Below are 18,339 nucleotides of genomic sequence, written 5' to 3'. Positions count from 1 at the left end.
TGGAAGCCACTTTGGAACTGGGTATCAGGCAGAGGTTGGAACAGTTTGGAGGGCTCAGAAGAAGCCGGGAAAATGTGGGAAAGTTTGGAACTTCCCAGAGACTTGTTGAATGGTTTTGCCCAAAATGCTGATAGTAATATTGGACAATAAGGTCCAGGCTGAGGTGGTCTCAGATGGAGATGAGGAACTTGTTGGGAAACTGGAGTAAAGGTGACTCTTGCTATGTTTTAGCAAAGAGACTGGTGGCATATTGCCCCGCCCTAGAGATTTGTGGAACTTTGAACTTGAGAGAGATGATTTAAGGTATCTGGTGGAAGAAATTTCTAAGCAGCACAGCATTCAAAAGGTGACTTGGGTGCTGTTAAAGCTTTTCATTTCAAAAGCGAAAAAGAGCATAAAAGTTCAGAAAATTTGCAGCCTGACGATGCAGTAGAAAAGAAAAACCCAGTTTTTGAGGAGAAATTCAAGCTGGCTGCAGAAATTTGCATAAGTAACAAGGAGCCAAATGTTAATCCCCAAAACAAGGGGGAAAATGTCTCCAGGGAATGTCATAGGTCTTCATGGCAGCACCTCCTATCACAGACCCAGAAGCCTAGGAGGAAAGAATGGTTTCATGGGCCCGGCCCCAGGACCTTGTGCTGTGTGAAGCCTAGGGACTTGGTGCCCTGTGTCCCAGCCATTGCTAAAAGGGGCCAAGGTACAGCTCAGCCCATGGTTTCAGAGGACGTAAGCCCCAAACCTTGGCAGCTTCCACATGGTATTGAGCTTGTGGGTGCACAGAAGTCAAGAATTGAAGTTTGGGAACCTCCGTCTAGATTTCAGAAGATGTACGGAAATGCCTGGATGCCCAGGCAAAAGTTTGCTGCAGGAGCGGGGCCCTCATGGAAACCTCTGGTAGGGCAGTGAAGGGAAATGTGGGGTTGGAGCCCCCACACAGAGTCCCTACTGGGGCACTGCCTCGTGGAGCTGTGTGGGGGCTCCACTAGGAGCAGGCCACTGTCCCCCAGACGCCAGAATTGTAGATCCACTGACAGCTTGTACCATGAGCCTGGAAAAGCCACAGACACTGAATGCCAGCCTGTGAAAGCAGCCAGGAGGGGGGCTATACCCTGCAAAACCACAGGGGCAGAGCTGCCCAAGACTATGAGAACCTACCTCTTGCATCAGCATGACCTGGATGTGAGACATGGAGTCAAAGGAGATCATTTTGGAGGTTTAGAATTTGACTGCCCTTCGTGCCACGCACTCCAGCCTGGGCGATGAGCGAGACTCCATCTCAAAAAAAAAAAAAAAAAGAAAAAGAAAAAAAGAATTTGACTACCCTTCTGGATTTCGAACTTGCATGGGCTCTGTAACCCCTTTGTTTTGGCCAATTTCTCTCATTTGGAATGGCTGTACTTACACAATACCTGTACCCCCATTGTATCTAGGAAGTAACTAGCTTGCTTTTGATTTTACAGGCTCATAGGCAGAAGGAACTTGCCTTGTCTCAGATGACACTCTGGGCTGTGGACTTTTGGCTTAATGCTGAAATGAGATAAGACTTTGGGGGACTGTTGGGAAGGCATGATTGGTTTTGAAATATGAGGACATGAGATTTGGAGGGGTCAAGGATGGAATGATATGGTTTGGCTCTGTGTCCCCACCCAAAGCTCATCTTGAATTGTACTCCTATAATTCCCACATGTTGTGGGAGGAACCTGGTGGGAGATAATTTGAATCATGGGGGCAGTTTCCCCCCATACTGTTCTTATGGTAGTGAACAAGCCTCACAAGATCCAATGGTTTTATCAGGGGTTTCTGCTCTTGCATCACCTCATTTTCTCTTGTCATCACCATGTAAGAAGTGCCTTTCACCTCCTGCCATGATTGAGGCCTCCCCAGCCATGTGGAACTGTAAGTCCAATTAAACTTCTTTTTCTTCCCAATCTTGAGTTTATCTTTACAGCAGCATGGAAACAGTCCTTTTCCTGAAAACAACCTCACATGGCCTTCCTTGGTGTGAGAACACACACGGAGAGAGAGAATCTTGTCTCTCTCTTCTTCTATGGATGCTAATCCCATCATGAGGGCTCTACCCTCATGACCTCATCTAAACCTAATTACTGCCCAGAGGCCTGACCTCCTCCTAATATTATCCCACTGGGGGTTAGGATTTCAACAGATGGGTGGCAGGGGACAGGGCACAAACACACAGTCTAAAACAAGTATCTTCCTGGTTACAAAAGGGGAAATATAATCTGCAAAAACTAAAGTATTTTAATAATTGACAATTTAAAAGTCAATCACTAATCACTACTACACAAGTTACTACTACTTGTAGAATTATTTAAGTAATTAATTTTGGACTTCAGGTAGAAATGATCTTTAAAAAATTATGAGGTAAAAAATAAGCATAAAATATATTAGTAGCTTAATAACATATTCAAAGTTCATGTAGCCTGTAAGGATATTTGATGACCTCATGGTAGAATCACATCAATTGGGTGCAGTGGCTCATGCCTGTAATCCCCACACTTTGGGAGGCTGAGGCAGGTGGATGGCTTGAGTTCAGGAGTCCAAAACCAGCCTGGGCAACATGGCGAAACCCCATCTCCACATCTCCACAAAAGATACAAAAGTTAGTTGGGCATAGTGGTGTGCTCCTGTGGTCCCAGCTCCTCAGGAGACTGAGGCACGAGAATAGCTTGGACCCAGGAGGCAGGGTTGCAGTAAGCAGGGATGGCACCACTGCACTCCAGCCTGAGTGACAGAGTGCGATTACCGTCTGAAAAAAAGAAAAAAAAAGAAAGAAAGGCTGTGGTCTGGGGTGGACCGAGGCTCAAAAGATAGACAAAATGAACTCTTAAAACCTATCAAACTTGTTAGTAGGATTAGATACAGCTGTGTATGCGAGAAAGCTTCAAAATATGGGCTTAAAGGAAACAGCAGTTCCTGCCTTGTCTGGCTGTCATTCTGTTATCCTGCCCCAAGATCCAAAATGGCTGTTAAGCTCCAGCTGTTTTCATGCCCACATTGCAGGTAGTGGAAAAGAGTAATTAAGAGTAAGTGTAGCAAGATCACAGACCTCCGCTTTTGAGGAGACTCCCTGGAAGTTCCACACAACACTTACACTTAACATTTCATTGCCCATTCATTTATGTGGCCATTAATATCTGAGAGGGAGGCTGGAAAATGCAGCCTTATACTGTGGCAATATGCCAGCAAAATATTGGTGTTCTGTTACTGAGAGGGATGGAAAGAGCTGCTGGGGTAGGCAATTAAGATGCTCTGCCACAAGTTCATTTATCTAAGTCATAATTAAAGAAGTTCTATTAATTTAGGCAGAATAGAAAACACAAATACATATTTGATGGATATCTTTGAAACATTAATTCATAATGGAAAGTGCCTGTCTTCAAGTGTCTAAAATAAAAATCAACACGTTGGTATTTGAGTAGCAGTGGATGGCATCAACAAGGTTAACATAGCTGTAGAATAGTGATTAAATCTGGGCCCTGGAGCCAGGCCATCTCGGTGGAGTTCTGGTATTAATTGTATGGACTTGGACAAGAAATCTTGGCACATTCAATTCATCTGTGAAATGGAGAAAATGATACCTATTTGTTGAGGTTGTTGTGATAAGGAAGTAAATTACAAATGCAAAGTTAATAAATATAGAACTGTGCCTAACACCTAGCCAGTGCTTAATAAATACTAGCTTTTATTATAATTTGTTTCATTAGTATTATATCTCAAGCACATATTATCTAATAGCCTTCATACTATATGATATATATAATAAAAGAAAGTTTGTTAAATGTATGTTAGTTTTATGCTTATTTAATTTACATTTCATCTTAGACTACTCATTATTACTGAGTATAAAGTCTAATAAAATAAATCCATATTTCATAAAGAATTGTAAATAAATGCATAGACTGCTAAAGAAAACAACTATAAAACTTAATAATATTATAAGTAGGACTGTATCTTCAGCATGAATTATTAGTATATATTTTTGCAGTATTAATAGCCAAGAAAGTCATATATGGTATCCAAAAAAGGTAACAGAAGAATAAAATTATGTTCAGCTTACTTGATCCTAATTGTAAGTATATTCCACATAAGGATATTGTGGAATAAAGCCCATATTCCTATTGGTGAAATTTCATTTATTTAAAGTTTCATGAAATCTGCTCAGCATTCTATGTTAGTGTCTTGGAAATAATCAGCTCTCTGATATTATTTATAAAGTATACTCATTAAAGGAACTGTGACTATTTTGATATACTGACAAATTGCACCCTCCAGTGGAAAAAATGTTTATCCATAAAACTTTAATGTGTTTCTGCATTGCAGCTGTAATATATTCAAAGTCGCTTCTGTCTAAAATTCTTTTAAATGTAATTGTGTTTTATGACCTGAATATACAGAATGAATATATATCTCACTCTATTTGATATACATTATACTTTTTGGGTCCCCAGGAAGTTCCTCTGAGTTTCAGACTCCATTATGTAAACAGGACATTAAATATTGGCTAAGTACAAGAGCTTTAAAGAAAAATTTTTTCGGTACAAGAGCTTTAAAGAAAAATTTTTTCGGAATTATTATTAACGTGTCAGTCTTTATAGACATGAGTCCATTCCAAAAAGTAGAACTCATCCACTTCCACTTAATATTCTACAGGATGAAGTTGGACCACAAACCATAGTACCTTACACAGGGGGAGAAGTTACTGAACTAAAAATATTTTATGTTCATGCCTCAATGATTTTTGTGTGTATAATTAAAAGCATCTATACTCCACAAGGCTAGTTTCTTCTTACATAAATGTAATATTTTTAGTATCCATACTAGAGTATGGGTCACCAAACTTGAAGAAGGTTAAAAAACAGCCATCCTCTGTCAATCAGAAAGAGTTCCAAAACTAAGTGACTGTATAAGCACATCCATATTTTAGGGCTATTCGAAGTTAAAAACCTTTCCTCTTGTTTCAGAGATACTTATATCAAATGAAGACATTTACAAATTGTTCATAGTATACAACAGTCCAAATATGATTTTCACCTATGCTGTGTAAAGAAGTTAAACATTCATAAGTTTCTCTAATAAATTCAGTGCATTTTTCCATAATAAATAACACAAGCTATTCTAAATGTTTTAATTTCTTTCAGTGCATATTTCCAAACTCATTAAAGGGAATGAAATCGTGTTATTAAATGGCTATGATATATTTCAGTATATTATGGAATCTACACTGTACAGTTTGATTCACATCAATACTGTAATTCACTCTAAAAAAAACCATAGGCACACACAAAATAGAGAAGAAATGTGAGGTTTTAATAAATTTAAAGTATGCTATCTACTTTAAACCACAATGTATGATATATTTTAACAAAACAGCCAATTTCCAAACCCCTTTTCTAATTCTGGCACAAGGAATATTCAATCTATTCGAATCTTCTGGTTTGTAATCCTATAAATGATGCTATCATATCCAGGATCCATGTTCCAAATATTGTAAGAAGTGATAATCACAGCCAGGGCCAAGGCAATCATTATCCAAAGTATCATGTTGAAAATCACTGAATATTCAAAATTATACGCAAGGTTATAGGGACTTGCTGGGTTCTTCACTTATTTTGCCTCAAAGATAGTCCTTGTCTTCCTCATAAGGGAGGTGTCAAATGACTTAATAGTGACTAACTCTACCACTGCATTCCCACTGTAAAGATTGTACATGTTATCTGCAAACTCTTGCAGAGCGTCAACAGGATTTTAGAAGCAACTATGAATTGTTCAGAGTCTTCCCTGTAATGCTTCCCAATTTCATCCAAACCTGCCAGCTCCAGTGAATATAAATCAGGAGAATGATCCTTGGCTAGATGCTTATGACAAGACACCAAGCTTGAAATATCATGTAGCACTTGGAGTTCAGAAAGAAAGAGCAAGTCAACTCCATTGTTCCTACTCAGAGAATTCAGGGGAAATGAACTGAGAATGGAGTTTTCCTGAAACAAGTAATTATGGAGCTGTCCTAAGGTGACTGAAAGGTCTTCAAACACTGAGTTTGCCTTCCCTACCAAATACACTCTTTCCTCACTAGGAGCCAACTGCAAAACAACAGGAGTTTCGTCAGAAAATAAAGAGCGAATGGAATTTGCAACACTGCCAAGACCAAACGGAACTGCATTCTCCAAAGGGTATGAAATGACACTGCCTGGTGGTAGAGCCAGTTTGTCCACTCCCTTCACCATCACCATGACGGTAGCCCGAGGACGATGAAATAGGTCACCTACTGCAAGTCCTGGCCAAGAAAGGTTTTCCTTCACAGAGAAGGCCATGGACAATGCAGCCACGTCTGGGATTCACTCTCCCGGTATAGGCCAATTTCCATTTCTGAAAATAACAGACCAAGAACTAAACTCGTTCCCTCAAACACCCGCCACCAACGACAGGAGCACGGCAAACACAATCATGGTGCCGCTGCGGCCGCGCAGTGCAGGGCAACAAGGAGCGGGCCGGCAGGACACAGGCAAGCACTGCGGTGTGACTGGGTGACGGCATTAGGACTCATCCTGACTCCTGGGGCTTGTCCTTTCATCGCCTAAAGGAATATATTTTTTAAAAAAAGTAAAAAATAAAATTATACCTGTATATATTGAATATTTTCTAAAAGAATATCCTCCACTATATATTTGATATAGAAATATTTTATAGATATTCCTGTGAGCAAAGATTTTGGTTGGAAAGATCTGTAGTTGCCCAATATTGGAAGAGGAATTTAAAAAAATGGTTAAATAAAAATTGAAGCATCACCTATTCTTGTCATAAATGGAAGAGAGGAGGAGCAGGGCAAGGAAAATAGTACTTTCAGTCACTGAGCATATGTCAGGATCAGGGCTAGGTGGTTAGATATACAAAGTCATTCCACCACCACCCAACCCCAATTTTATAGTGATTCAAAACAGGTTCATACAGCCTCTTTATTATTTTTTTTTAACTAAAGTCCTCTTAATGACAAAGGAAATTGAATATGGGCTGCAAGAAATATGAAGGCATATCCCACAGCTACTACTAATCAGTGAGAAATGTCTTTATTTTTTAAATTCGTCAGGCAAATGTTTCATCCTACTTCAAAATATATGTGCTTTTTGTCAGTGTAAAAAATGTTTATGACTGCTAGTAAAATTATTTTTCAGAAAGAACTGAAACACTGAGCACATCTCTCCATTTTTCACTCCAGTCTGAGGAGCATAAAAGCTAATACTAACAGAATGTGATGAGGTATGGTTTGAACACAGAGGGTCTTGACTCTAAAACTGAACTCATCCTACAATATTCTACACTAATTCTATAGTTATCAAATCTTTCCCACCAAAATCTTTGCTCACCCCTTGTTTTATCTTCCCGTTTCTTATGAATCAGTGGCATACTATCAGGCAGTTATCACCTAAAACTGAGGCCCTTTTCTTAACTGTCATTTCTGCTAGAAGTTGGCTTTATTCCTCATTGGCTTTCTTCTCTCTACCCAACATGGCCTCTAAAAATCTCTTCTATTTTCCTAATTATACTCTATCCTTCACTTTACACACCTTATGCACCCCAGGCAAAACACAAGTATCGTAGTCTGTGACTACCTTTTTATGTTTAGCCTGCCCGTTAGAAGACATGTAGATCTCTTCCTTATAGAGAATTGTATTAGTCTGTTCTCACACTGCTATACAGAACTACCTGAGACTGGGTAATTTATGAAGAAAAGAGGTTTAATTGACTCACAGTTCCACAGGCTGTACAGGAAGCATGAGTGGGAAGCCTCAGGAAACTTACAATCACATTGTAAGGCAAAGGTGAAGCAAGCACGTCTTACATGGCAGAGCAGGAAAAGAGGTGGGGGAAGGTGCCAAACACTTTTAAATGATCAGCTCACTATCACCAGAACAGCAAGGGGGAAATTCACCCCCATGATCTAATCACCTCTCACCAGGCCCCTCCTCCAATTCGACATGAGATTTGGGCAAGAACACAAATCCAAACCATATCAATAATTATGCTAAGAAATACATTTTTCTTCCTGTGTTACCACTTTGCCAAACATTAGCTGTCATTGACAAAACAACCTAAAACTTCTCAAAAGAAAGCAAACGCAATAGTTACCTTTGCTCCCTAAAGCTCTTGTAGCCCATGGTCTGACACCCTCCCTGCTCCCATCTCCTTGGATCTTGTCTCATCTCAGAAGTCCCTGTCTGAAACCAGGGCCTAGGTATTCAGCTGTCAGGGACGGTTTGTTCTCACCTGTCTTGAATGCCTAATCCAATGTTTTTATGTTGCTGGTCCACATTTTATTTTACTTCTTCTAAGTTCATTATTTACTTGTTTATACATCTTTTTACATTATTTTACTTAGTTCTTACTTTTTATTCATCTCTTTTAAAAATACTTCATTTCCTAAACTCTTTATCCAATTTGTTTTATTATTTAACACTTTACTGTGTTCCTTTTATTCCTTTTCTTTTTTGCAATCAATTTTAGTTAATTTTTTTTCTTTCAGCCTCTCCATGTTAAATAGTAGGTCAGACCCACAAAGGAGAATAAAGAAAGAGGATGACTTGTGTCTACTGGAGGAAATGTACTAATCAGAAAAACACACAAAAAAAATTATAGCTATGTTAAGTGTTACCAAGAAGAGGTATGCAGTTTCAGGAAAACATGTGACTGGGTCATTATCCTAGTCAGAGAAGTTAGCAAAAGCTTCCCTAAAGAAAAGATGAACTCTTCTCATGGAAGGATGAAAATATGTAAGACAGTGAGTGCCACTGACACAGAGATAGTACTACACAACCGTTTATGAGGAGAGAACAAGCAACCTGACTTACAGGAAGTAAAAGAAGATCATTGTGGCTGGAGCACAGAGAGAGGGAAACATAGTATAAAACTTAGAGGTAAGTGCAGTTTAGATCATACAAGTTTTGTTGAGAATTTTGGTGTGTATCTTAAAACCAAATGGAAGCCATTCAAATGCTTCAGCAAAGCTAAGAGGAGTAATGTGAGGATATTTGCATTTGAAATCTTACTCCTCTGCGTATTCGCTGTGCGACATGACTTTGGACAAGTTTCTCAATCTCTCTTAGCCTCATCTGTGAAATGGCAAGAACAATAGTCATTATATTAGCAGTCGTATAAGAAGTAGTAATGGTAATAATAGGTAAGCTTTATGGACCTGGCACTAGACAGTGTCTCATGGATTGTCTCTTTTAATCCTCTGTGATGTACATACTATTACTATCAGCCCTATTTTTCAAGTGAAGAAAATAAGGCACAAAAATCAAGTGAAAGAAACAAAACAGTAAGTGGTGGATTATCTATTTCATAGGATTTTGTGAAGATTAAAAGTGTTGCTAGACTAAACTAGTTACCACAGAATTCAGGACATAGTAAGCATTTGATAAACCTTTATGTATTTGAGGTTCCAGTTTCAAATAAAATTATGAGTCAGATTTTTAAAAACATTATCCAAGGTTGAATTCTCATCAATGACAATTTCTTTTTCTTGTGGCCAATTTTGTCATACTCATGTCTTATGCTTATTTTTAAACACATTATGAGCCTTTTCAGTGGCCATGACAAACCTACCAGCACTTTCAATTCACTTGGGCTCCCATAGTACTTGTTAGCTACATGAGCTTTAGTCCTCTTACTGTCTATGCCTCAACAACCCTGTCCTCCTCTCCCCATCAAGCCTTTCCACTGGGCTTGCTGCTATGATAAATCTGTTTTCCTAACTCTTAACTTCTTCACTAAATACTCCTTCCAACTTCTAGCCTTAACTTAAAACTTGTTATTCCCTGAGGATATTGTTTTTCCTGCAGCTGCTCAAATAGGTGTTTCCTACTACACATCCCTCCTCTCTTTGTTCTCCAGTACTACTTCCAGTCCATTATCCCTTCAAATTAATGTAAAAATAAATTAGCTCCTTTGAAGCCCATGTGTCTGCCTGTATCATGTCCTGCTCTCCTATTCCCTGCCATCCACAAACCTTGTATCATCCACAGTCAAGGGACTTTTACACGTACACAGCCCACACAACATCCTTTTCTCTTGGGGTTATGGATCCAACTTCATTGACCTCCACATTTATTCCACTCAAGTGAAACACCAGAATAGAGGTCATCAATAGGGCCTATGGGCCAAAATGAGGCTAAAAATCTTGTTTTATTTGGTCCAGGAAAATTTAAAAATATATACTTTACATGACTGGCACTGAGTCACCATAAATCCATACTCATATATGAGAATCTCTAAAAAGGCACTTTCTTCACTAATTATATAAATGAGTTCTAGCAATCACCCGGTACCCTTCAATCTCAAATTACTCTCTCAAGGTTGCTTTGTATAACCCAACTAGAATTTAAAAAGTTCTTGCCAGTAGCAGAGTACTTCCTGACACAACATCAATTTTGAGAGTCATTCTGTTTCATGATAAACTGACACACCTTTCTTGTTCCTTGCCCGGCATAGGTGGCAAGCTCTGACTTTGACTCTAAAGTCTAGAAGAGTCTGCAAGCACTATGACATCATCTGCTCTCTTTATGGTACTTTTAACAATTTTTAATTTTTTTCATTATGAAAATGCATGTTTATAATAGAAGAGCTGAAATTGTTTTTTAATTGAAGAAAATAAAATCTTACATCACCCCACTACACAGAGACAACCTCTGTTAATATTTGGGTGCAATGTCTTCCCATCTTTACTCAGTGCAATTCCTTCCTATATATGTGATCATGCCCTATGGGCAACAAGTACTATGTTTTTCACATAAAAATTATTACATAAGTATTTTTCTGTTGTTACAGTCTCTTATACTGTTTTGAGATATAGTTCATATATCATAAAGTTCACCATTTTAATACGTGCAATTTGATGGATTTTAGTATGTTTGTGAGGTTGTGCAAAATGACCACTATCTAATTTTAGAACAGTTTCATCACCTCCAAAAAACCCATACCCAATAGCAATAATTCCCCATTCCCCTCTCTCTCTATCCCCTACCAACTACTAATCTACTTTCCAACTCTATAAATTTGTATTCTGGACATTTTGTATAAACAGATTCATACTATATGTGGTCTTTTGTGTTTTACTTCTTTCTCTTAGCATGTTTCCAAGGTTCATCAATGTTGTAGCATGTATCAGTATTTTATTCCTTTTTATGGCTGAATAATATTCATTTGCATGGATATACCAAATTTTGTTTATCCGTTCATCAGTTGATGGACATTTGCATTGTTTCCAATTTGAGGCTGCTATGAATAATACAGCTATCCTTCATGTACAAGTTTTTGTGTGAACATGTGCTTTCAACTCTCTTAGGCATATACACTGGATTAAAATTTCTGGGTCACATGTTTGATGTTGAGGAACTGACAATCTGTTTTCCAAAATAGGTGCATCATTGTATATTCTCACCAACAACAATTTTAAAATTATGGCCATCTTAGTAGGTATGAAATGGTACTTTATTGTGATTTTGATTTGTATTTCCATCCATAAGTACTAACAATATTGAGCATCTTTTCATGCGTTTATTGGCATTCATATGTCTTTGGAAAAATATCTATTTCAATTCGATGTACACTTTAAAAATTGGGTTGTTTTTTATTATTGATTTGTAAGAGTTCTTTATATATTCTAGATACTAGATCCTTATCAGATTTATGAGTTTCAAATATTTTCTCCCATTCTATGGGTTGTCTTTTCACTTTCTTGAGAATGTCCTTTCTTTATGGGACTTTTATGAGAAGGGCTTGAATGTCACTTTATAACCATGCTTTCCTCAGTTGGTCTTTCTCTGAAGATCATAGAGTAAATGTTTCTCACAAATCACAAGGAACTGTCCTCATTCCTGACCTATGGCAGCTGACACTCATGTAGGTCTTTCAAAAGACCCTGTAGGCCCTCTTCAGTTTTGACCTCATTGCAGTACACTATTATTCTCTTAACTACTGTGATACCTGAGTACTAGTTTTATAAAATTTCCAGTGCCCTAGTTTAAATAAATAATCTAGCTCTATATCCTTTTGAATCATAATTAATTTTTAGTGAAGGTAAATATCATGCCAGGATTTATAATAATTTTGGATTCCTCCAATGAAAAACTTGTATCTTTACACTAACTTAAGGGTAACAGAGTAGCTCAATATCAGCAAGATACAGTATTGTAGTATACTTCTGGCTTCTTACTAATGTATAATTGACGATTTCCAGCTAGTTTATTTATTCAAAACTATTTACTGACTTATTATCAGGATCTATACATTTTACTGGTTATTAAGGATACAGCTGTAAATAGAATTAATATGTCTTCTGTCCTCATAGATATTTTGGTTCCATAGGTGAGTAGGCAAGCACCCATGTTAATATGGGAGCTATAGTGTTCTGAGAGCAAACAAAAGAGGGACATTACCTGTATATGAATGCACAGCAAACTTCTTCAAGGAGAAAATGACTAACCTGAAACTATTTGAATAGATTAATGGGACTATACCAAAATGGGGGTAAAGTGGTAACATACTGGAGGAAGAATATTCTAAGGAAAGGAAACTCTACATTCAGAAGGCCAGATGGGAGGCAAAAGAGCATGCTGTTAAGTTTAAGAAATTTAAGGATCTTCCAACTCCTGGTTGATATGATTAAGTAAAAACTGACAAGCAATTTAAGGACATTTAAATCTAAATAAATGTTCCTATTGCAAAGAAAAATGCAGATATATGTTCCAATAGATTAAATTGAGACCTAGTTACATTCTTTATTGACATATGTCATTGATATAAATGATGTATGACTGGATTAATGGGAAAAGTTCTGAGATGCAATAACTTCTGGGGTCCTTTATTCGGGAAGGAGGTTTAATTGACTCACAGTTCTGCATGGCTGGGAAGGCCTCAGGAAACATACAGTCATGGTGGAAGGGAAGCAAACACGTTCTTCTTCACATGGTGGCAGGAGAAAGAAGTGCTGGGTAAAAGGGGGAAAAGTCCCTTATAAAATCATCAGATATCATGAGAACTCATTCACTATCAGGAAAACAGCATGGAGGTAACTACTTTGCTGATTAAATTACCTCCCGCCGGGCACAGTGGCACATGCCTGTAATCCCAGCACTTTGGGAGGCTGAGGTAGGTGATCACCTGAGGTTGGGAGTTCGAGACCAGCCTGACCAACATGGAGAAACCCTGTCTCTACTAAAAATACAAAAGTAGCCGGGCATGGTGGTGCATGCCTATTATGCCAGCTACTCAGGAGGCTGAGGCAGGATAATTGCTTGAACACAGGAGGTGGAGGTTGTGGTGAGCCGAGATCGTGCCATTGGACTCCAGCCTGGGCAACAAGAGTGAAACTGCGTCTCAAAAAAAAAAAAAAAAAAATCTCCCACTGGCTCCCTCCCATGTCACTTGGGGATTATGGGAACTACAATTCAAGATGAGATTTTGGTGGGGACACAGCCAAACTATACCAATGGCCATTATTATGCTGATGTACATTCTTTCTGTACCTAATTTGTTGAGTTTTTATCATTGAAGAATGTTGAATTGTGTCAAATACTTCTTCTGCCTCTATTGAAATGATCATGTTTTTTCCTTCATTCTGTTAATGTGTCACTTTTATGTTGAGCCATTCTTGCATCCCAGGGATAAAATACCACTTGATCAAGGCTTGTGATCCTTTTAATATGTTTTTGAATTCAATTTGCCAGTCTTTTTGTTTTGTTTTTACGATTTTTGTATCTATGTTCATCAGGGATATTAGCCTGTAATTTTTTTTTTTTCTTCAGTATCCTGGTCTGGCTTTGGTATCAGGGTAATGCTGGGCTCATGAAAAGAGTTTGGAGGTATTTCTTTCTCTTCGAGTTTTTGGAACAGTTTGAGAAGGATTAGTATTAATTGTTCTTTAAATATTGGTAGTATTTACTAGTAAAAGCTCTGGTCCTGGACTTTCCTTTGTTGTGAAGTTTTTCATTACTAATTCAACTCCTTGTTTTTTTATTTTAGTTCAGATCAGACTTTGTTTTTTACATGATTCAGTTTTGATTGGTTGTATGCTTATAGAAGTTTATCCATTTCTTCTAAGTTACCCAACTTATCAGTGTATAGTTGTTCATAGTATAGTCATCCCTCAGGATCCACAGGGGTTTGGTTCCAGGACCACCCATGGGTACCAAAATCCACACATACTCAAGTCCCAGAGTAGGCCCTGTGGAACTTGTGAATATTAAAATTGGGCCCTTCATATAAGAAGGTTTTGCATCTCATGAATACTCTTATTTTTCATTCATGTTTGGTTTCAGATGCTGAACTCATGCATATGGAGGGCAGACTGTATATATTGAAAAAAAAATCCACATGTAAGTAGACTCACGCAGTTCAAAGCCATGTTGTTTAAGGGTCAACTGTAGTCTCTTGCAATCTTTTGATTTTCTGTAGTATCAAATGTAATGTTTCCCGTTTCATTTCTGGTTTTGAGTCTTCTCTATTGTTTTCTTAGTCTAGCTAAAGGTTTGCCAGCTTTTTTTTTCTCCTTCGCAAACAAACAAACAAAAAAACCACGCAACTTTTAGTTTCGTTGATTTTTTTTCTAGCATCTATTTCATTTATTTTGGCTCTTATCTTTATCATTTTCTTCCTTTTGCTAGCCCAAACTAACCTTAGGCTTAGCTTGTTCTTCCTTTTCTACTTCTTTGAGGTGGAAAGTTAGATTGTTTATTTGAGAGTTTTCTTTTTTCTTAATGTAGGTGTTTATAAGTTTCACTCTTAGAACTGCTTTTGCTGTATTCTGTAAGTTTCGGTGTTTTGTGTTTCCATTTTATTTTGTATCAATATGTTTTTAAATTTCCCTTTTGACTTTTCTTTTTTGAACCATTGGTTGTTCAGGAGTGTGTTGCTTAATCTTCATATGTTTGTAAATTTTTCAATATTCTCCCTGTTATTGATTTCTAGCTTCATACCATTTCAGTTGGAAAAAATACTTGGTATAACATCAATCTTTTCAAATTTTAAAAGATTTGTTTGTGGCCAAATGTATGATCTAGCCTAGAAAATGTTTCAAAGAAGAGCTTCAATCTTATGATTGGTGATTGATTTCTGGTATACTTTTACTCAAGGCTAGGGCTTTCTGAGTCACATGGGATTTTTATTAGGACCCTTCCTTTTTTGAGGTCCTTATAACTTTAATTTTTATGTTTCTGTCTCACAAGTCTAAGGATCTGCTCTGCTCGTCTTATCAGCATTTCAGCAGCTGCTTTCTAATCAGTAACTATTTTTAGGGAGAAGCTCCCCCAAATGCCAGGATATCTTTTTGTGACTCTTTCTTCTTGCAAATCATGGCAACACAATTCCTTACACACAGACTTTGTAGCTCTTCTGCGCATTCAGAACAGACGTTCTGTTTAAAAACATTTTGTTGTATCATTCTCAGTAGGAGAGTTGGTTTGAATCACTTAATACACTATTACTTATACTGGAACTTCTCCATGCAAATTTTAGAAATTTTTATATGGTTGATTTAACCTTTCTTTTGTCTTAATTACTTGTAAATTCTGATTCATGGGAAATGCTATTTCCCATTTTACTGTTATTTAGAAGTTTGTTTGCATTTTGGTATAGTACTTTCATAGTTTCAATTTTTATACTGAAACCTTTGATCCATTTGGAATTTATCTAGATCTGTTGAGAAGTTTATATGAAACTTTTATTTTTGATGTTCACCTCTTTATCCATTCCCGTTTGCTGGATGGTCTATCTTTTTGCCATGGACTAGAAATTTTATCTTTTTATATAGTAAATTTGCCTGTAAATTTGGATCCATTTCTGAATTTTCTATTGTTTTGTTTCATTGTGTGTCTCTGTTCACGTGTCTGGGTGACACTCTTTTTAATGGCTTTATTTAGGCTTGTCATACAGTACTCTGTGTACATTTAAAGTGTATAATTTGATCAGTTATGACATATGTACACCCTGATGAAACCATCAGTATAATCAAAGTAATGAACAAAAGTTTTCTTGTGCCCTTTTGTAATTTATCACACTTCCCCTACCCTTGTTCCCCAGCTGTCTCCACACAACAAACTGATTGGCTTTCTGTTATAATAACTTGCAGTTTTTAGAATTTTGATCAGATAGAATAGAGTCCTTTTGTATTTTACTCAACATGTTATTTTGTGACTCATTTATGTTGTTGCTTTTATCATCAATTTGCTCTATTATTTGTGTGGTAGTAGTAGTATTTTATTATACAAACACACAAATTATTTATCCATTTATCGGTTTTTGGAGGTTTGGGTTGTTTCCAGTGTTTGGCTATTACAAGTAAATCTGTCATGATCTTTTGTGTATATAAGACTATATAGATATACACTTTTATTTCTCTTGGATAAGGATGGAATGGTTAGTTTGTATGGTATGTGCAAATTCAATGTTTTTGGAAATTGCTCAACTATTTTCCAAAGTGCTATACCAGTTTACATTCCCACAAGAAGTGTATGAGATTTTCAGTTTATCTATGTCCTCATAAACACTTGATATTGTTTGTCTTTATACTTTCGGTTATTCTAATGGATGTATAGTGGTATCTCATTGTGGTTTTAATTTGCATCTTCCTTAAAATGCAAATTAAAGATAAAAAAGATCTTTCCCTGTGCTCATCTTCTTTCATGAAGTATCTACTTAAATATTTTTTTCATTTTATATTAGTATATATGTTTCGTCTCATTGATTAGTTAAGAGTTCTTTTTATATTCTAGATGTAAGTTCTTTGCCAGATATATGCTTGCCAAATGTCTTTCACCAATGTGTGGCCTGCTTTTTTATTTTCTTAACATTGTCTTTTGAAAAAAAAATTTTAATATTGATGCATTTCAATTTGTTGATTCTTTAATTCTATAGATTAATTTGATAAAAATTAACATATTCATAATATGGATTTTTCCACTTTATGAATATGGCATATTATTGTCTGAAATAACCCCCAAATTTTATAAGCTAAAACCTAATCCCCTTTGTGGTGGCATTAAGAGGCAAGGCATTTTGGGAAGTGATTTTCATGAGAGCTCCACCTTATAATAAAAGGACCAGAAGTAACTAGCTTAGGCCTTCTGCCTTCTGCCACATGAGCACACAGTATTCATGTGGTGTATTCACCTCTTCTGCCATGTGAGGACACAGCAAGAAAGCCCTTACCAGACACTGAATGCTGGCCCCTTGATCTTGGACTTCCCAGACTTCAGAACTGTGAGAAATAAATTTCTATTGTATATAAGTTACCCAATCTGTGATGTCTTATTACAGTGGCACAGACTAAGGAAGCACATTTCTTCAATTATTAAGTCTTCTTTAATTTCTCGGAAGTCTGTTTTAGAGGTGGTGGTTAGGAAACAATGGCTGTTGGTATGCCAAATCCAACCTGTGGTTTATTTGGTGTGGTTCACAAAATAATTTTTACGGTTTTAACGTGTTGTTAGAATGCAGAAGAAAGTGGGATAAACACTAAAATATTTCATATTTGCTTCTTATAAAAAAGTTTTCCAGCCCCTGTCATAGAGAATTGTGTATAAATGTTGAACATAATTCATTAGCTTCACTTCCAGGTATTTTACGTTTGTGATGCTACTGAAAAACATCCGTTTATGATTAAGCTTATTTAAAATGTTATATTTCTGGTACAAAGTATTTGTTCAATATATATTCTATTGAATAAATGAAGAAAAACATTTTCATCTTTAGAAATAAACTTGTGAAACAGCTTGTTAAAGATGTTAAGGCCATGAGAGATCAGCAAAAGGAAGACACTGGAAAGAGATTCTAGAGTGTGTAGCTCTCCTTTCTTTCTTGGCCTTCTGCAGACTATACTCTCTCTTATGGGCCCTTGTCCCACCTGTTACTTTCTCTGACAAAAACTTTTGGCATCTTAGAGACATGGATGTTGGTACTACATGAATGAAGAAATCATATGACATTGTTTTCAAGTTTTATTTTCTTAATTTTCATTGCTGGTGTATTAGTCATGGTTTTCCAGACAAGCAGAAGCAATAGGCTCTTAGATAGGTAGACTGATTGTTTGACTGACTGGAAGGAATTGGCTCACATGATTGTGGGGGCTGGCCAGTCTGAAATCTGTGGGACAGGTCCACAGATGGGAAATCCTGGTAAGAGATGATGTTTCAGTCTTGAGACTGAATTCCGCAGGACAGCAAGCTGAAAACTCAGTTAGGGTTTCTACCTTGAATTCCTGGAGATAATTTCTTTTTCTTCATGAAAACTGTCCTTGCTCTTAAGGCCTTCAACTGATTGAATGAGGCC

At 37.1% G+C, this 18,339-nt stretch overlaps 1 protein-coding gene and 1 pseudogene across 2 annotated transcripts in view; both read right to left on the bottom strand.

The window, feature by feature from the left end:
• The window catches only part of CRB1 (crumbs cell polarity complex component 1), a 276,952-nt gene that overhangs the window by 249,767 nt on the left and 8,846 nt on the right, over positions 1 to 18,339 (bottom strand). The window lies entirely within an intron of this gene.
• LOC127011 (ATPase H+ transporting accessory protein 2 pseudogene) lies at positions 5,149 to 6,563 on the bottom strand (annotated as a pseudogene).

This window comes from Homo sapiens, chromosome 1 (genome assembly GCF_000001405.40).
Source record: "Homo sapiens chromosome 1, GRCh38.p14 Primary Assembly".
Taxonomy (NCBI): Eukaryota; Metazoa; Chordata; class Mammalia; order Primates; family Hominidae; genus Homo; species Homo sapiens.
This window is presented reverse-complemented; position numbering and strand designations above follow the sequence as displayed.